The sequence below is a fragment of the Homo sapiens genome, chromosome 1 (genome assembly GCF_000001405.40).
Source record: "Homo sapiens chromosome 1, GRCh38.p14 Primary Assembly".
Taxonomy (NCBI): Eukaryota; Metazoa; Chordata; class Mammalia; order Primates; family Hominidae; genus Homo; species Homo sapiens.
In genome coordinates this window covers 152302165-152327211 of record NC_000001.11, presented here as the reverse complement: position 1 = coordinate 152327211, position 25047 = coordinate 152302165, and the positions used below count along the sequence as shown (strand labels likewise).

Genomic DNA, 25047 nt, shown 5'->3' with positions numbered 1-25047 from the left:
GCAAAATCTTAGCACATTCCTAGCACATAATGGGTATACAATATAGATTACTATCATTATTACATCATGGTAGAGACAAAAATGCAATAACTACTGGCATAAAAAAATTAGACCCAAGAAGAAAAAAGGAGAAAATGAATATCTGTGTTCTACAGATGTTAACCAATACTCCACAAAAGAAAGAATCAATGGTCTAATAAGGTTAAGAACGAGGACATTAAACACAGTTTTAAAAACTCGGGCATATTTTTATCTCTTTGACTCTGAACAAGATTGGCACACCCTTGCATCCCTTATTTGATCATGTCCCAGGCATTGCTGTAGGGCCCAAGGACACAAAGGATGACTCAGACCCAGTCAATGCTAGGGTGAGAAGAAACACAGGATTCAAGGCACCAGGGGGCAGGGGGCACACATATAAATAAGTAATTAATATAAAATATCACCAGTGCTATTGAGAGGTAAATACAGAGTATGTGAGGGAACACTGATAAATCTGGAGATGTCAGGTAAGGCTTTATGCAGGAGGTGGTAATTTTGAAGAATCTTAAAAGATAAAGAGAAGTTAAGGATGAGGGTCTCTCAAGTCAAGGTAGTGGAGGATAGCACGCAAAGATTTTGAACAGTAGTGGACCAATATGGGCTCGTCCAAGAAATATTGCTCATTCTAGAGTGACTTTTCCATGAGATACAGGTAATAAGAGGGACAATTGAAAAGATACAGATTCATGCCTATTGTAAAGGGGCTTGTACGTCAGGTAAAAAAGTCTGAAATTCTGCAGGCAAGAAGAAACCAGCACAGCGAATGACATAAGATGGTAAGCCAGCTTAATAGTAGAGAGAGAGGCTAGTTACGACACTTTTTTTTCTTTACCAATACCCAATTGAAAGATGGTCAGGTCCAGAACTAAAATTATAGCACTGGAGGTAGAGAATAGGCCTACATAACAAAATCTAAGCCTGAGTATAATTGATACGATGTGACATGAGCATGAGGGGTTAAGGAAAAGGAGAAATGAAAATGACTTTGTCTAGCTTGAGACACCCAGTGTGTGGGGGCATCATTACCAATATATGGGCTTCTGGAGGATAGTACATTTTGGTAGGAGGCACAATGTAAGTTCAGTTTTCAACACTATGGATTGAGATAACCATGGGACATCCATATGGAGATGCAATCTGCTCAACATAACAGTGTGTATATCATAAGACAGACCAGGGATAGGAGTCCCCTGTATATTTATGGCAATAAAAGAAAATTCATGGTTTAAGAAGGAAGAGTATGTGGAACATGTCTCTGATGCCACGATGTAATAACCTTGAAAACAAAGTAAAATTACACTAATGAGTCTTGCCTAATTAAACTCATGCTCCTAGTGATCACCACTTCTAGTTCAATTGTTCACATTCTTGCTCTGCTTTGAAAAATTAAAATTAAATTTGCCTATCCTCTACTGACCATAATTTCTAGAAGACGGCATTCATCTCATGGCAAGTTCTTCAGTACCCAAAGATGGAATACATAGATTAAAAAAGAACATATATGTAGATGCTTGTGATGTTTTCCTATCATAAATTGAATTTCAAGTTCTTATAAACGTATTAATATGTCCTACTCTTCTAGAGACAAGGATCAGGAAGTGTATTTATCAATAGATATTTACCAAGCACCTGTCAAGCCAAAGTGGGGTTACAGAAAAGTAGGTATGGGCCCTGCACACAAACAACCTGTATTAGCCAAAGGGACCCTTCCATAAAATTTCCAATATGTAAACCCAAATTTGGAACTTGCTGAAACAAGTACAGATGAGTACGTGAGGAAGCTGGGAAGTAAACACAGGTTGCTGGAGAAATAGAGGTGGAGATATGGGTGGATCTAGGTTTGGTTAGGAATGAATCAGACCATCCCACAGAGGGTGGCTCCTCCCTGCATGGGGCCTGCTATAAAAGGGCCATTATCTCAGCCTTCAGTACCCAGCAGGCTCCTTCAGGCTACATTCTATTTGCTCTTTTGGTGAACAAGGTAAGAAGGAATACATTTAATTTTGTCTACTTACTATTAACCAAGGTGGAAATCTGAATGTATGTGTACTGTAAGGCAAAAGGTTCTGGAAGTTTAGGGTTTTTCTCTTTCTTTTTAGTGGCACTGTCACTAAAAGGTTTATTTCTATATAGAAGGAAAATGAGGGCATAAATTTGCTTTCCATGGAGCTACTCAATACTCTGTATTGTTAGATTGTCCATTTATTCATTTACTTAACAAATATGTATTAACTACCTTCTACTTGGTCTTGGCTCTATCTATGCAGCAGTGAACTATATAAACTCCTAGCAGCTTACCTTTAATAGGGGGAAACATTTAGTAAACAACAATAAACAAATAAGATAATTTTAAATAGTGATAAGAACAATGAAGAAAATAAAAGAGTGATGTAGTAGAGCAGGGGTGTCCCGTCTTTTGGCTTCCCTGGGTCATAATGGAAAAAGAATTGTCTTGGGCCACACATAAAACACACTGACACTAATAATAGCTGATAAGCTTAAAAAAAAACTCGTAATGTTTTAAGAAAGTTTACAAATTTGTGTTGGGCCACATTCAAAGCTGTCCTGGGCCACAGATTGGACAAGCTTGTAGTAAAGTGATGGGAGGGAGGAGGAAAGTGCTTTAAATTAGATGGCCAGGGGAAGACCTCTCTAGGGAATTATCTTTGAGTTGAGATCTTAAACACAAAAGAAACTAGCCAAGGCAAAGGGCAAGATTCTAAGCAAGAGTAAACTTGTCCCAAAGAGCAAAAAGAAGCTAGTGTGCCTTAGAGCATACATAGTTAAAAAGAGGACCAGTGGTATATGGTGATGTCAGAGAGCTAGACAGCGTAGCTCATGTAAAGAGGGGCACAGTAGAATTAAAACAGTACATGTTAGATTTTAGCATGTACTTAAAGGGGTATTAAGCAGGAGGAGTAAGATAATCTATGTTTTTAAAAGACCACTCTGGGCTGCTACGTGGAAAACAGGAATATAGGAAGGCAAGAGCAGGAGCAGGGAGAGACTGCATTCTTTTATGTGAAAGATGATGGAAATAATAGAAATAACGAGAAATAACTGTTTGCTCATACCAAAATCTAGAAGTTATCCATGATTCCTGTTTTCTCATCACACTGATTCATCACCACGTCCAGTCAACTCTGCCTACAAACCTGCCAAATCTATCCATTTATCCCCCTCTCTGCCATTATCATCCTAGTCCAGTCTACCTTCATCTCCCAACACTGACTATTATGTTATCTGAAAATATAACAATTTATTCATCCATTTGTCTATGGGTAGATACTTGGGTCTCTTCCATTTTGGGGGGTATTATAAATAATAGGGCTATGCACTTTTTTGTGTACTACTTTTGGTTACACATATGTACATATTTCAGTTGGGAATATTCCTAAGAGTAAATCGCTAGGACTTAGATACTGTCAAACAATTTTCCAAAGTGCTTCTGTCACTTTATGTGCCTCCAGCAGTACATAAAAAAAAAAAAAATCTCAATTCTCCACATTCTCACCAATATTTGGTATTGTCAAGGATTTTTTTCTTTCTTATCTTTTTAGTCACTTTGGTGGGTGTATTGAGGTCTCACACGTTATTTCAATTTGCATTTCCCTAGTGCATAACAAGGTTGAGAAGTTTTGATATGTTTATTGGCCATTTGGATATCCTTTTCTGTAACGTTCCTAAGGTATTCATTTTTCCATTGAGTTAACTGTATTTTTTATTGATTTATAGAAGCTATTTTTATATTCAGGACAGATTCCTTTATTGGTTAAATGTGTTTTGTATATCCTCCCACTGTGTGGCTTGTACATCTCTCTTCTAATGCTATCTTTAAAAGAATAAACATTCCTACTTTTAATGCAGTACAATTTATCAGTCTTTTTCTTATTAATTAGTACTTTTTGAATTTTATTTAAGTATTTCCCCACCCCGAGGTCCTGAAGATATTCTCCAATGTTATCTTCGTTTATCTCTTACATGTAAAATCAACCTGGAAACTATTTTTTTTCCATTTGAAAATTCAATTAACCCAGCACCATTTATTCAAGACTATTCTTTCTCTACTGACCTACACTACCATCTTTGCCATTAACCAAATGTCCAGAGTGATATAAGACTGACTTTATACTATTATCTTTTATCATTCCATTTGTTTAGCCTTGCATCATGCCATATTTTCTTCCTTTATAACACACCTTGCTATCTGGTATGTCTTCCAACTTAGTCTTCTTAAAGATGGTCTTACCTAATCTTAGCCCTCTACATTTTCATATAAATTTTAGAAATCACCTTATTAATCTTTATTTTTTAAAAAAACTTCAGATATTCAGAATGGGATTTCATTGCATCTATAAATGAATTTAAGGAGATTTGATATCTTAATGCTATTTAGACTTTCAGTTCATAAACAAGCTATATATTGTCCATTTATTTAAATCTTTATCTCAATATTTATAATTTTCTGAGTATAGCTCTTTCATGTTTTCTTAGATTTATTCCTAAAAATTTCCTCTTTTTTTATGCTTTTATGAATAGCCTCCTTTCCTATTTCATTTTCTCAGCACTTATAATCTCAACTTTTATAATATTCTGAGTACAGCCATTTCATATCTTTAATTAGATTTATTCCTAAAATTTTTCTGATTTTTTTATGCTTTTGTAAATAGCATCTTTTCTTATTTCATTTTCTAAGTGTTTATTGCTGTTATATAGAAATACAATTGATTTTTGTATACTTATAACCAGAAGCATGTTTAGTTTATTTATTCTAATAGTTTAGCTATACATTCTTTTGGATTTTCCACATACAAAAGTTATATCATTCTGTGAGTAATAACAGTTTTATTACTTCTTTTCCAATTACTCTGCTTTTAATTCCTTTTCCTAACGTATTGCTCTAGCTAGGACTTTTAGTACAATGTTAAATAGGATGATACTATACATAGTATATATCAATAGGATGATGCAGGCATACTAGTTTCATTCCCAAACTTGGAGATGAAAGCTTTCATTTCACCATTAAATATAATTTTTGCTATGACATTTTTCAAAGACATAATCTTTTATTTATTAATCAGAATTAATATTGGATTTTATCAATTTTTCATCTATTGAGAGGTTCATATAATTTTCCCCATTATTCTATTTCAGTACTTAATTGGTTGGTTTTCAAATGTTAATCCAAAAATGAATTTTGGAATAAAATGTAGTTAGGAATAACATATATTCTTTTTATATACTACTGAATTCAGTCTGCTATTATATTCTTTCAGAGTTTTGCATCTATATGAAAGGAATTGTCCTGAAAATTTTGATTCTTATATCGTTGTCAGGTTATGGTACTGAGGCCAGTTTGGATTAATAAAATGGGTGTTTCCTGTTTTTCATTTCTCTGAAATAATCTATGTGATGTTATAGTTATTTCTTTCTTTCACTTTGAATAGAATTCAGTAAAGCCATCTGACCTGCAGTTTCTCCCCCACTGGAAATGAATGCATTTAAGATTCAATTTCTTTAATAAACATAGTACTATTTAGGTTTTCTATTTATTGTTGGTTCAGTTTTGGTAACAAGTGTTTTTCTAGACATTTCTTCTATGTCATCTAAATTTTCAAATTAGCTGGTATAATGTTTTTTATAATATGCTCTTGTCATCTTTCTAATGTCTAAAACCTCGATAGCAATGTCCCCTTTTACTTTCCTGATATTGGTACTTACTCTTCTTTCCTTGATTAATCTTGCAGGGGTTATCAGTTTTATTAGATTTTTCAAAGGCTGAATCTTGGCACTGTTGGTTCTCTAAATTTTCTTTCTCTTTTATTAATTTTAGTTATCTTTATTATTTCCTTCATTATACTTTCTTAGGGCTTAATTTGTTCTTTTTAAAACTTCTTGAAATATATGCTTAGGTAATTAATTTTTCAGTCTTTCATATACATATATATACACACACAACTGTATGCTGCTTATAAGATTCACACATAAAAAATGATAACAGTGATTGAAAATGAAAGGATGGGAAAAAGAGATATCATTCATATATATATGTATGTGTTTATATACATATATATGTGAGTGTATATATGTATATATGTGTGTGTGTATATATATATAGGCTATAAATATCTATTAGGCATGGAATTAATGTATTCCACAAGTTATGCTATTTCATATTTTTCTCATTTTCATTTAGTTCAAAATATTTTCTAATTTTGCATTGTAATTTATTCAATGACCCATTGATTATTTAGAAGTCATTAATTTTCAAACACTTAAAGATTTTTCTAGTTATCTTCCTATTATTTAATGCTTGCTTCATTCCACTGTGTTAGAGAACAAACTCTATGATTTCAACCCTTTAAAATTTATTGAAACTTGCTTTATGGCCCAGTATATGGTCAATTTCAAAAGAATGGATATTCTGCAGTTGTTAGGTGTAGTGTTCAATGTATGTTGATGTTTTATTAATAATTTTGTAGAAATATTCTACATTCTTACATATTTTTTACTTCTTCTATCAGTTGCTGAGAGAAGTGTATTTAAATACCCCACTATGATTGTAGATTGCCTGGTCCTCCTTATACTTCTGTCGATTTTTATTTATGTATTTTGAGGCTTCCTGGAGAATTGATCTTTTATTATTATAAAATTTCCTTCTAGCAATATTTTTTGCCTTAAAGTCTGCTTGACAGATATGAATATAATAATAACAGCTTTCTTTTAGTGTTTGAATGGTATCTCTTTCTTCCACCCTTTCATTTACAATCATTTTAATCACATTTTATGTGTGTCTCTTATAAGCAGAATACAGTTGGTTTTTTTTAATCCAGTCTGACAGCCTTGTCCCTTAATTAGCATATTTACTCTATTTATATTCAGAGTTATTATGGAACTATTTGGTTTACATCTCTACAATATTACTACTTGGTTTCTACTATCTCACCTGTTCTGTATTTCTTTTTCTATTCTTGACTTTTTTGGATTAAGTTAATATTTACCAGTTAATTATCTTTATACAAAAGCTTATTAATTATACACTCTTTTATTATTATCTGCATCCTTGCCCTAAAAATTATAGCATGCATCCTTGATTTGTTAGGGTATATTATTAAGAAAAAAATACTTTAACCCCTACCCAAATAATACAAGTATCCTACAATACTTAACTCCATTTTCTCACTGCCTTATCTGGGATTGTTATGTATTTTAATTCTATTTATCTTAAATCCTGAAAGATTACTATTATTATTTTATGCAATCAATATCTAGCTATATTTTTCCACACATATGCTCTTTCCATTGTTCTTATTCTTTCTTGCTCCTCTGTGCTTCCAACTAGAATTATCCTTTAATATTTCCTTTACAGTAGGTCTCTGGTGATTAGCTCTGTTTTTCTTTGCTTGAAAATATCTTTACATGTTTTCTTTTTGGTGGATATTTTCACTGTTAACATATAACTTATTTTGCTTCAGAAAGATGAATATAACATTTCATCGTCTTTTAGCTTCCATTGTTTCTTTTGAAAAGACAAGTATCAATCTTATTGTCGCTCCTTTGAAGGTAATACAAGTGTTTCTCTGTCTGCTCTTAGGATTTCCTCATTGCCTCAAATGTTCAGCAGTTTTATTATTATATGTCTTGCTTTGGTTTTCTTTTATATCTCCTGCTTGGAGTTTATAATATCGTTTTGAACCTGTACCTTGATATCTTTCATCAGTTTTAGAAAATTTTGTCTTTTAATTCCCCAAATACTATATTTCCCTCTAAATCTGAATGTAAGCCCCAATAAATTGTCACAATCTTGATAGCTCTGTGATACCTTCAAACACACACACACACACACACACACACACACACATTTTCTAGTTGTATTCAGAGTTAGTCTGAAACTAATAAACAATTGCACAAAGCAATCTTTAAAAATCAAACCATATTAGATCACTCTCTTACCAAAAAATATCATCTAGTCTCATCACACCTAAAATAAAATGCACAAATGTCACCTTATTTAGAAGATCATTATCTGACCCGTCTGTATCTCTGACTTTATGTTGTATTACTCCTGCTTTGTCCACAATTTTCTAACTGAGTTGGTCTTTTTCTATATCTCTAACATGACAAGCTGATTTTCATCTTGGAATCTTTGCACTGTTCCTTGTGCTAAAATTCTCTAATTAACAAGGCTACTTCCTTCTTATTTTTCCATTTTAAGTTCAAATGTCCCCTCTACCACAAAACCTCCTTTCCTTAAAGTACCCCCAAATATTCTGTATAATAGCACTCTTATTTTAGTTATGTACATATCACTTATCAATATCTAATTGTTGAATTAATTTATTGTTTGTTTATTGTCTTCACAAAAGTAGGCAGGCACCTCATCTATCTTGTTCACTACTATATCTCCAAAGCATGAAACAGTGCCTAACCCTTTAGTAGCTGTTCAATACTTGTTAAATAAATGAAGGAATGAATGAATGAATGTAAGCTCTGAGAAAAGGTTATGCCTAGAGGTATCAATTTTGAAGTCATCAGATAGATGGTATCTGAAGTGATGGGATCCAATGACATTGCCTCAGAAAGGAGTGTAGATTTTTTTTAAAAAGAAGGTCTAAGACACAGCCACAGATATTTCCAACCTTTTGAGATTGAGTAGAAGAGAGGTTAGTAAAGAATACTGAGAGACAACAGCATTCAATGGGTAAGAGGAATATCAGAAGAATATGGTGTCATGAGATCCAAGAAAAAAAGACTCCATTAAGAAAGGAATGGTTAATTCTATTTCACATACCAAGAGATTAAGTAAGATGATGATGATGAGGTAATGATGGAGAAATGACACTGTATTCAACAACTTGGAGATCACAGATGATTTGACACAAAGCAGTTTCAGTAGAGTTTGGTGATAGAAAATTGAGAGAAGCAGGTTAAAAAGAAAGTGGGTGGTAAACATTTTAAGAGAGAAAGCAGAGAAAACTTCTCCAAGACTCCTGTGAAATGAAGCAGTTAATTAGGCTAGTAAGATGTTAGGAGAAATGTTGGGGGAGGGTGGAATAATGGTTCGAGGGAAGGGTTTTAAGATGGAAGATACTCCAGCATGTTTCTGTGGTGATAAAAATAAACTACTAGAGAAGGAAACAGAGTGAAGTAGGGAAAACTGACTAATTTTAGGGATATTTTGAAAGTAGGATCAATAAAACATGTTGATGGAATAGATATTGGATGTAAGAAAAGGAGAATCAACTAATTTTCAGGTTTACGACTTGAGCCATCAGGAAGACAGGAATAACTGATGAGGATAACGGGTGTGCGACATTTTTAGGGTAAAGCAGTTGAAAATCAAGACTTCTGTTTTGAACATAATAGATTTAAGATCTCTACAAGACTCAAGTAGAAATACTGGATAGGCATTTAGACATACACATCTCAAGTTTAGGGGACAGTCAGTGACTGGGGGTATAAACTTGTGAGTTGCCAACTTATTTAAAAAGTTATATAGAACTAGATGAGATGACCCGAGGGAGTATAATAAAGAAAAGAAGCTAAGGAGTGAATCATAGGGCATAGCAACATTAGGAGCTGAACGAGGAGGCTAAGAAAAAAGTGGCCATTGAGGTTGGAGGAGAAACTTGAGAGTGCCAGGTCTCTGAAGAAGGATGAAGCCAGTTGCATCAAATGCTGCTGATATGTCAAGTAATATGTAAAATAAAAATGGATATGTGGATTTGGAAATATGAAGGATATTTTTTACTTGGTGAGAGTTTTAATACATTTTTTAGAAAGAAAAATACCTTGAGTAAAGGAAAACAAGAATGAGGAAGTAAAGACAGAATGTATAGGCATATCTTTTGAGGAATTTTGCTATAAAAGGGAACAGATAAATCAGATGGTACCTAAAGGCAGATGTGAGATTGAGGGTGGGGTGGAGATGGGAAGGTAAGTGTTAGATAGATATTTCAGCATGAATATATATTGAAGGGAATGATCCAGTAGACAAAGAAGAATTAATGATGCATATGAGAAAGTAGGCAACTGCAAAAGCAAAGTGTTTGGGTAGGCAAGAGAGAGTGGGGCTCAGTGCCAAAGTAAAGGACAGGAGGAGCACAGACTGTTTATTACCCTAAATAAAGTGAAGGCAAGGTATATGGATAGAAATGTAGTAGGTTGGGAGATCAGATATTAGGAGAATGAGGAAACTCTTTTCCAATGGCTTCCAAGTTCTCAGGAATCAAAATCAAGGACATCAGAGATAAAGGAAAGAAGAAGTTGTTGAAGCTTTGGCCAGTGGGTATAAGAAAAAGTAGGACAAGTGGATGTATCCAAGGGGCATTTGGGGAGATTAAACATAATGTCTAACCAAGGTAAAAAGGGAAGTGAGTACATAAAGCAGTAAATAGAGAGGTTAAAGAATTATTGACATCAGCGTACAAGAGAAGGTCAAAGAGTGAGATCCTTCAGAAAGAGATTTTGCATATGTTGCAAGTAACGATAAGTTCAGAGAATACAATATCATCATAAATAAGACTGGCTGAAAATAATCATAAACTTTAAAATGCATTTGTAAGAAGCATATACCTGTAATTTTTTAAATTCAATCTTTACAATCTATATTTTAACTGGCAAGATATGGTCTATTTTACATGTATTGTAATTAGTAATAATAAAATTATTTGTAATTCTATTAATTTATTTTATGCTTTCTGTTTACCCTTCTTTTTCTATGCTTCTTATTTTCTTCTTTCCTGGCTTCTGTTGAATTATTAAAGTTTCTTAATTCCCCTTTTTCATCTCTAATGGTTTAGAAATTATAAATTCTATTATTTTAGTAAATACCCATAAACTTACCCAAATACATATATCACTTAACCACAGCAAAATTCATTAATATCTAATTCCTCTTACCAAACAAACCAAGGTCCAAAAATGTTTTAGTTGTGACTGCTACAGTAATCTCCTTCACATTGTTTTCTACAGTATTTTAGTTTCACCTGGTTTTGTAAGTCCTAATAAAGTTATAATTCTTTATATAATACACACTTAGATTTATTGACATGCTTACTAATTTCTTCACCAATGAGATAAACTGAACATTCCTTAAATGGCAAAATGAAACCCAGTCAGAAAAACCTTTCTCTTTAAATATTGAAGAGCTATTAAATCCATCCTATACAATGAAATATTATAAACTTCATGAAATGTTTAAAAAACAAATAAAAAATTGAATGAACTTTCATTGAGTATCTTGTCATATGGCTAACTGGCTTTCAGAGAATTGTGTCTTAGCAAATTAATCATTTATTAAGTTAGCTTTTGGGGAAGTAATTTTCAGTAAATTTGTATAAGTAAATTTTACTGCTTAAAACCAGTCAGCCTTTCTAAATTCTTGTTGCTAGCAATGGCAAGATCAGCAAGAGGGATGATCTTACCTAGAGCACACTGAGGTCTGTGAGACTACTAAGTCCAGCTGTAAGTGGGCACAAGGCCAAAAAATGGGCAATTTTATTTAAGTCAGGAAAACTCTATTCATTTGTTTTATGTAGATGGTAGAGAAAAGTTTCTCATGTCCATCTTCCATTCTTAAAGATGGATTACTTAGAGGAAAATGTAGGTTTAAAATGTGGAAAATGATTGTAATAATATAACCTAGAAAAAAAGATGTATAAAAAAGTGCATTTTCATTTCTTCTTTCTAGGTTCACATTTATTGCCAAAAGATGTCTACTCTCCTGGAAAACATCTTTGCCATAATTAATCTTTTCAAGCAATATTCAAAAAAAGATAAAAACACTGACACATTGAGTAAAAAAGAGCTGAAGGAACTTCTGGAAAAGGAATTTCGGCAAATCCTGAAGGTAAGAGTCTCTGACAAGACCAAAGATAGAGCATTTGTTTTTCTCATCAATAATCTAAGCAAGGGTTATTTTGAGCTCTTTGTGAACTATTTCTCTTAAAATAGGAAAAGAGTTAATCTTGTCTCAAAAGAGATAGATTTTATTTTCTTCCCCTATACCTGGATGTATATTATAAACATAAAGACACCCTCAGAGAAAAAAATATAAATATTTAAAAATTAATGTAAATTAGTTCTTAGTATTTTGGTATTTATAATATTCTCCCAAACATCAACATTACTAAGGGGATTTTTGTTAAAGACAACTAAGTAATGAATTATATACACTTCTGACTTTTAAAATAAGAAAAAGAGTCACTTACCCCATCAAATCTTGATACCTTACTAGTCTACATCTTTGTTCACATATAACACCTGAATGAGGATGAGACAAAAAAGTCTTAAAAAAAAAAAAGATTTTGTCCCACTTTTTAATACTCAAAGATCAGGTTCCTTAAATTAACTTTGAATTAATTGGCTGATAATGTGATTCTGTCTGATGCAGTCTCCCTCTGTGACTTCCCTCTGTACAGAATCCAGATGACCCAGATATGGTTGATGTCTTCATGGATCACTTGGATATAGACCACAACAAGAAAATTGACTTCACTGAGTTTCTTCTGATGGTATTCAAGTTGGCTCAAGCATATTATGAGTCTACCAGAAAAGAGAATTTACCGATATCAGGACACAAGCACAGAAAGCACAGTCATCATGATAAACATGAAGATAATAAACAGGAAGAAAACAAAGAAAACAGAAAAAGACCCTCAAGTCTGGAAAGAAGAAACAATAGAAAAGGGAATAAGGGAAGATCCAAGAGCCCAAGAGAAACAGGGGGGAAAAGGCATGAATCTAGTTCTGAAAAAAAAGAAAGAAAAGGATATTCACCTACTCATAGAGAAGAAGAATATGGAAAAAACCATCATAACTCAAGTAAAAAAGAGAAAAACAAGACTGAAAATACTAGATTAGGAGACAATAGGAAGAGGCTAAGTGAAAGACTTGAAGAGAAAGAAGACAATGAAGAAGGAGTATATGATTATGAAAATACAGGAAGAATGACTCAAAAATGGATACAATCAGGCCATATTGCCACATATTACACAATCCAGGATGAAGCCTATGACACCACTGATAGTCTATTAGAAGAAAACAAAATATATGAAAGATCAAGGTCATCTGATGGCAAATCATCATCTCAAGTGAACAGGTCAAGACATGAAAATACAAGCCAGGTACCATTGCAGGAGTCCAGGACAAGAAAGCGTAGGGGATCCAGAGTTAGCCAGGACAGGGACAGTGAGGGACACTCAGAAGACTCTGAGAGGCACTCTGGGTCGGCTTCCAGAAACCATCATGGATCTGCGTGGGAGCAGTCAAGAGATGGCTCCAGACACCCCAGGTCCCATGATGAAGACAGAGCCAGTCATGGGCACTCTGCAGACAGCTCCAGACAATCAGGCACTCGTCACGCAGAGACTTCCTCTCGTGGACAGACTGCATCATCCCATGAACAGGCAAGATCAAGTCCAGGAGAAAGACATGGATCCGGCCACCAGCAGTCAGCAGACAGCTCCAGACACTCAGCCACTGGGCGCGGGCAAGCTTCATCTGCAGTCAGCGATCGTGGACACCGGGGGTCTAGCGGTAGTCAGGCCAGTGACAGTGAGGGACATTCAGAAAACTCAGACACACAATCAGTGTCAGGCCACGGAAAGGCTGGGCTGAGACAGCAGAGCCACCAAGAGTCCACACGTGGCCGGTCAGGGGAACGGTCTGGACGTTCAGGGTCTTCCCTCTACCAGGTGAGCACTCATGAACAGCCTGACTCTGCCCATGGACGGACCGGGACCAGCACTGGAGGAAGACAAGGATCGCACCACGAGCAGGCACGAGACAGCTCCAGGCATTCAGCGTCCCAAGAGGGTCAGGACACCATTCGTGGACACCCGGGGTCAAGCAGAGGAGGAAGGCAGGGATCCCACCACGAGCAATCGGTAAATAGGTCTGGACACTCAGGTTCCCATCACAGCCACACCACATCCCAGGGAAGGTCTGATGCCTCCCATGGGCAGTCAGGATCCAGAAGTGCAAGCAGACAAACACGAAATGAGGAACAATCAGGAGACGGCACCAGGCACTCAGGGTCACGTCATCATGAAGCTTCCTCTCAGGCTGACAGCTCTAGACACTCACAGGTGGGCCAGGGACAATCATCGGGGCCCAGGACAAGTAGGAACCAGGGATCCAGTGTTAGCCAGGACAGTGACAGTCAGGGACACTCAGAAGACTCTGAGAGGTGGTCTGGGTCTGCTTCCAGAAACCATCATGGATCTGCTCAGGAGCAGTCAAGAGATGGCTCCAGACACCCCAGGTCCCATCACGAAGACAGAGCTGGTCATGGGCACTCTGCAGACAGCTCCAGAAAATCAGGCACTCGTCACACACAGAATTCCTCTAGTGGACAGGCTGCGTCATCCCATGAACAGGCAAGATCAAGTGCAGGAGAAAGACATGGATCCCGCCACCAGCTCCAGTCAGCAGACAGCTCCAGACACTCAGGCACTGGGCACGGACAAGCTTCATCTGCAGTCAGAGACAGTGGACACCGAGGGTCCAGTGGTAGTCAGGCCACTGACAGTGAGGGACATTCAGAAGACTCAGACACACAGTCAGTGTCAGGCCATGGACAGGCTGGTCACCATCAGCAGAGCCACCAAGAGTCCGCACGTGACCGGTCAGGGGAAAGGTCTCGACGTTCAGGGTCTTTCCTCTACCAGGTGAGCACTCATAAACAGTCTGAGTCCTCCCATGGATGGACAGGGCCCAGCACTGGAGTAAGACAAGGATCCCACCATGAGCAGGCACGAGACAACTCCAGGCACTCAGCATCCCAAGATGGTCAGGACACCATTCGTGGACACCCGGGGTCAAGCAGAAGAGGAAGGCAGGGGTCCCACCACGAGCAATCGGTAGATAGGTCTGGACACTCAGGGTCCCATCACAGCCACACCACATCCCAGGGAAGGTCTGATGCCTCCCGTGGGCAGTCAGGATCCAGAAGTGCAAGCAGAACAACACGTAATGAGGAACAATCAAGAGACGGCTCCAGGCACTCAGGGTCACGTCACCATGAAGCTTCCTCTCATGCCGACATCTCTAGACACTCACAGGCAGGCCAGGGACAATCAGAGGGGTCCAGGACAAGCAGGCGCCAGGGATCCAGTGTTAGCCAGGACAGTGACAGTGAGGGACATTCAGAAGACTCTGAGAGGTGGTCTGGGTCTGCTTCCAGAAACCATCGTGGATCTGCTCAGGAGCAGTCAAGACATGGCTCCAGACACCCCAGGTCCCATCACGAAGACAGAGCCGGTCACGGGCACTCTGCAGACAGCTCCAGACAATCAGGAACTCCTCACGCAGAGACTTCCTCTGGTGGACAGGCTGCGTCATCCCATGAACAGGCAAGATCAAGTCCAGGAGAAAGACACGGATCCCGCCACCAGCAGTCAGCAGACAGCTCCAGACACTCAGGCATTCCGCGCAGACAAGCTTCATCTGCAGTCAGAGACAGTGGACACTGGGGGTCCAGTGGTAGTCAGGCCAGTGATAGTGAGGGACATTCAGAGGAGTCAGACACACAGTCAGTGTCAGGCCATGGACAGGATGGGCCCCATCAGCAGAGCCACCAAGAGTCCGCACGTGACTGGTCAGGGGGAAGGTCTGGACGTTCAGGGTCTTTCATCTACCAGGTGAGCACTCATGAACAGTCTGAGTCTGCCCATGGGCGGACCAGGACCAGCACTGGACGAAGACAAGGATCCCACCACGAGCAGGCACGAGACAGCTCCAGGCACTCAGCGTCCCAAGAGGGTCAGGACACCATTCGTGCACACCCGGGGTCAAGGAGAGGAGGAAGGCAGGGATCCCACCATGAGCAATCGGTAGATAGATCTGGACACTCAGGGTCCCATCACAGCCACACCACATCCCAGGGAAGGTCTGATGCCTCCCATGGGCAGTCAGGATCCAGAAGTGCAAGCAGACAAACTCGTAAGGACAAACAATCAGGAGACGGCTCCAGGCACTCAGGGTCACGTCACCATGAAGCTGCCTCTTGGGCTGACAGCTCTAGACACTCACAGGTGGGACAGGAACAATCATCGGGGTCCAGGACAAGCAGGCACCAGGGATCCAGTGTTAGCCAGGACAGTGACAGTGAGAGACACTCAGACGACTCCGAGAGGTTGTCTGGGTCTGCTTCCAGAAACCATCATGGATCTTCTCGGGAGCAGTCAAGAGATGGCTCCAGACACCCTGGGTTCCATCAAGAAGACAGAGCCAGTCACGGGCACTCTGCAGACAGCTCCAGACAATCAGGCACTCATCACACAGAGTCTTCCTCTCATGGACAGGCTGTGTCATCCCATGAACAGGCAAGATCAAGTCCAGGAGAAAGACATGGATCCCGCCACCAGCAGTCAGCAGACAGCTCCAGACACTCAGGCATTGGGCACAGACAAGCTTCATCTGCAGTCAGAGACAGTGGACACCGAGGGTCCAGTGGTAGTCAGGTCACTAACAGTGAGGGACATTCAGAAGACTCAGACACACAGTCAGTGTCAGCCCACGGACAAGCTGGGCCCCATCAGCAGAGCCACAAAGAGTCCGCACGTGGCCAGTCAGGGGAAAGCTCTGGACGTTCAAGGTCTTTCCTCTACCAGGTGAGCTCTCATGAACAGTCTGAGTCCACACACGGACAGACTGCACCCAGCACTGGAGGAAGACAAGGATCCCGCCATGAGCAGGCACGAAACAGCTCTAGGCACTCAGCATCCCAAGACGGTCAGGACACCATTCGTGGACACCCGGGGTCAAGCAGAGGAGGAAGGCAGGGATCCTACCACGAGCAATCAGTAGATAGGTCTGGACACTCAGGGTACCATCACAGCCACACCACACCCCAGGGAAGGTCTGATGCCTCCCATGGGCAGTCAGGACCCAGAAGTGCAAGCAGGCAAACAAGAAATGAGGAACAATCAGGAGACGGCTCCAGGCACTCAGGGTCACGTCACCATGAACCTTCCACTCGGGCCGGCAGCTCTAGACACTCACAGGTGGGCCAGGGAGAATCAGCGGGGTCCAAGACAAGCAGGCGCCAGGGATCCAGTGTTAGTCAGGACAGGGACAGTGAGGGACACTCAGAAGACTCTGAGAGGCGGTCTGAGTCGGCTTCCAGAAACCATTATGGATCTGCTCGGGAGCAGTCAAGACATGGCTCCAGGAACCCCAGGTCCCATCAAGAAGATAGAGCCAGTCATGGGCACTCTGCAGAGAGCTCCAGACAATCAGGCACTCGTCATGCAGAGACTTCCTCTGGTGGACAGGCTGCATCATCCCAGGAACAGGCAAGGTCAAGTCCAGGAGAAAGACATGGATCCCGCCACCAGCAGTCAGCAGACAGCTCCACAGACTCAGGCACTGGGCGCAGACAAGATTCATCTGTAGTCGGAGACAGTGGAAACCGAGGGTCCAGTGGTAGCCAGGCCAGTGACAGCGAGGGACACTCAGAAGAGTCAGACACACAGTCAGTGTCAGCCCACGGACAGGCTGGGCCCCATCAGCAGAGCCACCAAGAGTCCACACGTGGCCAGTCAGGGGAAAGGTCTGGACGTTCAGGGTCTTTCCTCTACCAGGTGAGCACTCATGAACAGTCTGAGTCCGCCCATGGACGCACAGGGCCCAGCACTGGAGGAAGACAAAGATCCCGCCACGAGCAGGCACGAGACAGCTCCAGGCACTCAGCGTCCCAAGAGGGTCAGGACACCATTCGTGGACACCCAGGGTCAAGCAGAGGAGGAAGGCAGGGATCCCACTATGAGCAATCGGTAGATAGTTCTGGACACTCAGGGTCTCATCACAGCCACACCACGTCCCAGGAAAGGTCTGATGTCTCCCGTGGGCAGTCAGGATCCAGAAGTGTCAGCAGACAAACACGTAATGAGAAACAATCAGGAGACGGCTCCAGGCACTCAGGGTCGCGTCACCATGAAGCTTCCTCTCGGGCCGACAGCTCTAGACACTCGCAGGTGGGCCAGGGACAATCATCAGGGCCCAGGACAAGCAGGAACCAGGGATCCAGTGTTAGCCAGGACAGTGACAGTCAGGGACACTCAGAAGACTCTGAGAGGTGGTCTGGGTCTGCTTCCAGAAACCATCTTGGATCTGCTTGGGAGCAGTCAAGAGATGGCTCCAGACACCCTGGGTCCCATCACGAAGACAGAGCCGGTCACGGGCACTCTGCAGACAGCTCCAGACAATCAGGCACTCGTCACACAGAGTCTTCCTCTCGTGGACAGGCTGCGTCATCCCATGAACAGGCAAGATCAAGTGCAGGAGAAAGACATGGATCCCACCACCAGCTCCAGTCAGCAGACAGCTCCAGACACTCAGGCATTGGGCATGGACAAGCTTCATCTGCAGTCAGAGACAGTGGACACCGAGGGTACAGTGGTAGTCAGGCCAGTGACAGTGAGGGACATTCAGAAGACTCAGACACACAGTCAGTGTCAGCACAGGGAAAAGCTGGGCCCCATCAGCAGAGCCACAAAGAGTCCGCACGTGGCCAGTCAGGGGAAAGCTCTGGACGTTCAGGGTCTTTCCTCTACCAGGTGAGCACTCATGAACAGTCTGAGTCCACCCATGGACAGTCTGCGCCCAGCACTGGAGGAAGACAAGGATCCCATTATGATCAGGCACAAGACAGCTCCAGGCACTCAGCATCCCAAGAGGGTCAGGACACCATTCGTGGACACCCGGGGCCAAGCAGAGGAGGAAGACAGGGGTCCCACCAAGAGCAATCGGTAGATAGGTCTGGACACTCAGGGTCTCATCACAGCCACACCACATCCCAGGGAAGGTCTGATGCCTCCCGTGGGCAGTCAGGATCCAGAAGTGCAAGCAGAAAAACATATGACAAGGAACAATCAGGAGATGGCTCTAGGCACTCAGGGTCGCATCATCATGAAGCTTCCTCTTGGGCCGACAGCTCTAGACACTCACTGGTGGGCCAGGGACAATCATCAGGGCCCAGGACAAGCAGGCCCCGGGGATCCAGTGTTAGCCAGGACAGTGACAGTGAGGGACACTCAGAAGATTCTGAGAGGCGGTCTGGGTCTGCGTCCAGAAACCATCATGGATCTGCTCAGGAGCAGTCAAGAGATGGCTCCAGACACCCCAGGTCCCATCACGAAGACAGAGCCGGTCATGGGCACTCTGCAGAGAGCTCCAGACAATCAGGCACTCATCATGCAGAGAATTCCTCTGGTGGACAGGCTGCATCATCCCATGAACAGGCAAGATCAAGTGCAGGAGAGAGACACGGATCCCACCACCAGCAGTCAGCAGACAGCTCCAGACACTCAGGCATTGGGCACGGACAAGCTTCATCTGCAGTCAGAGACAGTGGACACCGAGGGTCCAGTGGTAGTCAGGCCAGTGACAGTGAGGGACATTCAGAAGACTCAGACACACAGTCAGTGTCAGCCCACGGACAGGCTGGGCCCCATCAGCAGAGCCACCAAGAGTCCACACGTGGCCGGTCAGCAGGAAGGTCTGGACGTTCAGGGTCTTTCCTCTACCAGGTGAGCACTCATGAACAGTCTGAGTCCGCCCATGGACGGACCGGGACCAGCACTGGAGGAAGACAAGGATCCCACCACAAGCAGGCACGAGACAGCTCCAGGCACTCAACGTCCCAAGAGGGTCAGGACACCATTCATGGACACCCGGGGTCAAGCAGTGGAGGAAGGCAGGGATCCCACTACGAGCAATTGGTAGATAGATCTGGACACTCAGGGTCTCATCACAGCCACACCACATCCCAGGGAAGGTCTGATGCCTCCCATGGGCACTCAGGATCCAGAAGTGCAAGCAGACAAACTCGTAACGATGAACAATCAGGAGACGGCTCCAGGCACTCAGGGTCGCGTCACCATGAAGCTTCCTCTCGGGCCGACAGCTCTGGACACTCGCAGGTGGGCCAGGGACAATCAGAGGGGCCCAGGACAAGCAGGAACTGGGGATCCAGTTTTAGCCAGGACAGTGACAGTCAGGGACACTCAGAAGACTCTGAGAGGTGGTCTGGGTCTGCTTCCAGAAACCATCATGGATCTGCTCAGGAGCAGCTAAGAGATGGCTCCAGACACCCCAGGTCCCATCAAGAAGACAGAGCTGGTCATGGGCACTCTGCAGACAGCTCCAGACAATCAGGCACTCGTCACACACAGACTTCCTCTGGTGGACAGGCTGCATCATCCCATGAACAGGCAAGATCAAGTGCAGGAGAAAGACATGGATCCCACCACCAGCAGTCAGCAGACAGCTCCAGACACTCAGGCATTGGGCACGGACAAGCTTCATCTGCAGTCAGAGACAGTGGACACCGAGGGTACAGTGGTAGTCAGGCCAGTGACAATGAGGGACATTCAGAAGACTCAGACACACAGTCAGTGTCAGCCCACGGACAGGCTGGGTCCCATCAGCAGAGCCACCAAGAGTCCGCACGTGGCCGGTCAGGGGAAACGTCTGGACATTCAGGATCTTTCCTCTACCAGGTGAGCACTCATGAACAGTCTGAGTCCTCCCATGGATGGACGGGGCCCAGCACTAGAGGAAGACAAGGATCCCGCCATGAGCAGGCACAAGACAGCTCCAGGCACTCAGCATCCCAAGACGGTCAGGACACCATTCGTGGACACCCGGGGTCAAGCAGAGGAGGAAGGCAGGGGTACCACCACGAGCATTCGGTAGATAGCTCTGGACACTCAGGGTCCCATCACAGCCACACCACATCCCAGGGAAGGTCTGATGCCTCCCGTGGGCAGTCAGGATCCAGAAGTGCAAGCAGAACAACACGTAATGAGGAACAATCAGGAGACGGCTCCAGGCACTCAGGGTCGCGTCACCATGAAGCTTCCACTCATGCCGACATCTCTAGACACTCACAGGCAGTCCAGGGACAATCAGAGGGGTCCAGGAGAAGCAGGCGCCAGGGATCCAGTGTGAGCCAGGACAGTGACAGTGAGGGACATTCAGAAGACTCTGAGAGGTGGTCTGGGTCTGCTTCCAGAAACCATCATGGATCTGCTCAGGAGCAGCTAAGAGATGGCTCCAGACACCCCAGGTCCCATCAAGAAGACAGAGCTGGTCATGGGCACTCTGCAGACAGCTCCAGACAATCAGGCACTCGTCACACACAGACTTCCTCTGGTGGACAGGCTGCATCATCCCATGAACAGGCAAGATCAAGTGCAGGAGAAAGACATGGATCCCACCACCAGCAGTCAGCAGACAGCTCCAGACACTCAGGCATTGGGCACGGACAAGCTTCATCTGCAGTCAGAGACAGTGGACACCGAGGGTACAGTGGTAGTCAGGCCAGTGACAATGAGGGACATTCAGAAGACTCAGACACACAGTCAGTGTCAGCCCACGGACAGGCTGGGTCCCATCAGCAGAGCCACCAAGAGTCCGCACGTGGCCGGTCAGGGGAAACGTCTGGACATTCAGGATCTTTCCTCTACCAGGTGAGCACTCATGAACAGTCTGAGTCCTCCCATGGATGGACGGGGCCCAGCACTAGAGGAAGACAAGGATCCCGCCATGAGCAGGCACAAGACAGCTCCAGGCACTCAGCATCCCAATACGGTCAGGACACCATTCGTGGACACCCGGGGTCAAGCAGAGGAGGAAGGCAGGGGTACCACCACGAGCATTCGGTAGATAGCTCTGGACACTCAGGGTCCCATCACAGCCACACCACATCCCAGGGAAGGTCTGATGCCTCCCGTGGGCAGTCAGGATCCAGAAGTGCAAGCAGAACAACACGTAATGAGGAACAATCAGGAGACAGCTCCAGGCACTCAGTGTCACGTCACCATGAAGCTTCCACTCATGCCGACATCTCTAGACACTCACAGGCAGTCCAGGGACAATCAGAGGGGTCCAGGAGAAGCAGGCGCCAGGGATCCAGTGTGAGCCAGGACAGTGACAGTGAGGGACATTCAGAAGACTCTGAGAGGTGGTCTGGGTCTGCTTCCAGAAACCATCGTGGATCTGTTCAGGAGCAGTCAAGGCACGGCTCCAGACACCCCAGGTCCCATCACGAAGACAGAGCCGGTCACGGGCACTCTGCAGACCGCTCCAGACAATCAGGCACTCGTCACGCAGAGACTTCCTCTGGTGGACAGGCTGCATCATCCCATGAACAGGCAAGATCAAGTCCAGGAGAGAGACACGGATCCCGCCACCAGCAGTCAGCAGACAGCTCCAGACACTCAGGCATTCCGCGTGGACAAGCTTCATCTGCAGTCAGAGACAGTAGACACTGGGGGTCCAGTGGTAGTCAGGCCAGTGATAGTGAGGGACATTCAGAAGAGTCAGACACACAGTCAGTGTCAGGCCATGGACAGGCTGGGCCCCATCAGCAGAGCCACCAAGAGTCCGCACGTGACCGGTCAGGGGGAAGGTCTGGACGTTCAGGGTCTTTCCTCTACCAGGTGAGCACTCATGAACAGTCTGAGTCTGCCCATGGGCGGACCAGGACCAGCACTGGACGAAGACAAGGATCCCACCACGAGCAGGCACGAGACAGCTCCAGGCACTCAGCGTCCCAAGAGGGTCAGGACACCATTCGTGGACACCCGGGGTCAAGCAGAAGAGGAAGGCAGGGATCCCACTACGAGCAATCGGTAGATAGGTCTGGACACTCAGGGTCCCATCACAGCCACACCACATCCCAGGGAAGGTCTGATGCCTCCCGTGGGCAGTCAGGATCCAGAAGTGCCAGCAGACAAACTCGTAATGACGAACAATCAGGAGATGGCTCCAGGCACTCATGGTCGCATCACCATGAAGCTTCCACTCAGGCGGACAGCTCTAGACACTCACAGTCCGGCCAGGGACAATCAGCGGGGCCCAGGACAAGCAGGAACCAGGGATCCAGTGTTAGCCAGGACAGTGACAGTCAGGGACACTCAGAAGACTCTGAGAGGTGGTCTGGGTCTGCTTCCAGAAACCATCGTGGATCTGCTCAGGAGCAGTCAAGAGATGGCTCCAGACACCCCACGTCCCATCACGAAGACAGAGCCGGTCACGGGCACTCTGCAGAGAGCTCCAGACAATCAGGCACTCATCATGCAGAGAATTCCTCTGGTGGACAGGCTGCATCATCCCATGAACAGGCAAGATCAAGTGCAGGAGAGAGACATGGATCCCACCACCAGCAGTCAGCAGACAGCTCCAGACACTCAGGCATTGGGCACGGACAAGCTTCATCTGCAGTCAGAGACAGTGGACACCGAGGGTCCAGTGGTAGTCAGGCCAGTGACAGTGAGGGACATTCAGAAGACTCAGACACACAGTCAGTGTCAGCCCACGGACAGGCTGGGCCCCATCAGCAGAGCCACCAAGAGTCCACACGTGGCCGGTCAGCAGGAAGGTCTGGACGTTCAGGGTCTTTCCTCTACCAGGTGAGCACTCATGAACAGTCTGAGTCTGCCCATGGACGGGCTGGGCCCAGTACTGGAGGAAGACAAGGATCCCGCCACGAGCAGGCACGAGACAGCTCCAGGCACTCAGCGTCCCAAGAGGGTCAGGACACCATTCGTGGACACCCGGGGTCAAGGAGAGGAGGAAGACAGGGATCCTACCACGAGCAATCGGTAGATAGGTCTGGACACTCAGGGTCCCATCACAGCCACACCACATCCCAGGGAAGGTCTGATGCCTCCCATGGGCAGTCAGGATCCAGAAGTGCAAGCAGAGAAACACGTAATGAGGAACAGTCAGGAGACGGCTCCAGGCACTCAGGGTCGCGTCACCATGAAGCTTCCACTCAGGCTGACAGCTCTAGACACTCACAGTCCGGCCAGGGTGAATCAGCGGGGTCCAGGAGAAGCAGGCGCCAGGGATCCAGTGTTAGCCAGGACAGTGACAGTGAGGCATACCCAGAGGACTCTGAGAGGCGATCTGAGTCTGCTTCCAGAAACCATCATGGATCTTCTCGGGAGCAGTCAAGAGATGGCTCCAGACACCCCGGATCCTCTCACCGCGATACAGCCAGTCATGTACAGTCTTCACCTGTACAGTCAGACTCTAGTACCGCTAAGGAACATGGTCACTTTAGTAGTCTTTCACAAGATTCTGCGTATCACTCAGGAATACAGTCACGTGGCAGTCCTCACAGTTCTAGTTCTTATCATTATCAATCTGAGGGCACTGAAAGGCAAAAAGGTCAATCAGGTTTAGTTTGGAGACATGGCAGCTATGGTAGTGCAGATTATGATTATGGTGAATCCGGGTTTAGACACTCTCAGCACGGAAGTGTTAGTTACAATTCCAATCCTGTTGTTTTCAAGGAAAGATCTGATATCTGTAAAGCAAGTGCGTTTGGTAAAGATCATCCAAGGTATTATGCAACGTATATTAATAAGGACCCAGGTTTATGTGGCCATTCTAGTGATATATCGAAACAACTGGGATTTAGTCAGTCACAGAGATACTATTACTATGAGTAAGAAATTAATGGCAAAGGAATTAATCCAAGAATAGAAGAATGAAGCAAGTTCACTTTCAATCAAGAAACTTCATAATACTTTCAGGGAAGTTATCTTTTCCTGTCAATCTGTTTAAAATATGCTATAGTATTTCATTAGTTTGGTGGTAGCTTATTTTTATTGTGTAATGATCTTTAAACGCTATATTTCAGAAATATTAAATGGAAGAAATCAATATCATGGAGAGCTAACTTTAGAAAACTAGCTGGAGTATTTTAGGAGATTCTGGGTCAAGTAATGTTTTATGTTTTTGAAAGTTTAAGTTTTAGACACTCCCCAAATTTCTAAATTAATCTTTTTCAGAAATATCGAAGGAGCCAAAAATATAAAACAGTTCTGTATACCAAAGTGGCTATATCAACATCAGGGCTAGCACATCTTTCTCTATTATCCTTCTATTGGAATTCTAGTATTCTGTATTCAAAAAATCATCTTGGACATAATTAATATTATAGTAAGCTGCATCTAAATTAAAAATAAACTATTCATCATATAA

The 25047-nt window shown here is 43.6% G+C and overlaps 1 protein-coding gene and 1 long non-coding RNA gene across 7 annotated transcripts in view; one reads left to right on the top strand and one right to left on the bottom strand.

Annotated features, from left to right (window-relative positions):
- The window catches only part of CCDST (cervical cancer associated DHX9 suppressive transcript), a 177390-nt gene that overhangs the window by 39481 nt on the left and 112862 nt on the right, over positions 1-25047 (bottom strand). The window contains exons 1-2 of one of the 6 annotated variants that reach the window (NR_103778.1): positions 13174-13753; positions 12255-12588 (exon numbers count right to left, since the gene is read on the bottom strand). The exons of the other annotated variants lie outside the window; for them this stretch is intronic. This is a non-coding gene — a long non-coding RNA (cervical cancer associated DHX9 suppressive transcript). Of the gene's footprint in view, positions 1-12254; positions 12589-13173; positions 13754-25047 lie in introns of those variants that run through there. 6 annotated transcript variants of the gene reach the window in all.
- Positions 1973-25047, top strand: FLG (filaggrin). Its single transcript, NM_002016.2, has 3 exons — positions 1973-2023; positions 11735-11893; positions 12465-25047. The coding sequence occupies exons 2-3, from the start codon at positions 11756-11758 to the stop codon at positions 24510-24512; spliced, it is 12186 nt and encodes a 4061-aa protein (NP_002007.1). The 5' UTR covers positions 1973-2023; positions 11735-11755; the 3' UTR covers positions 24513-25047.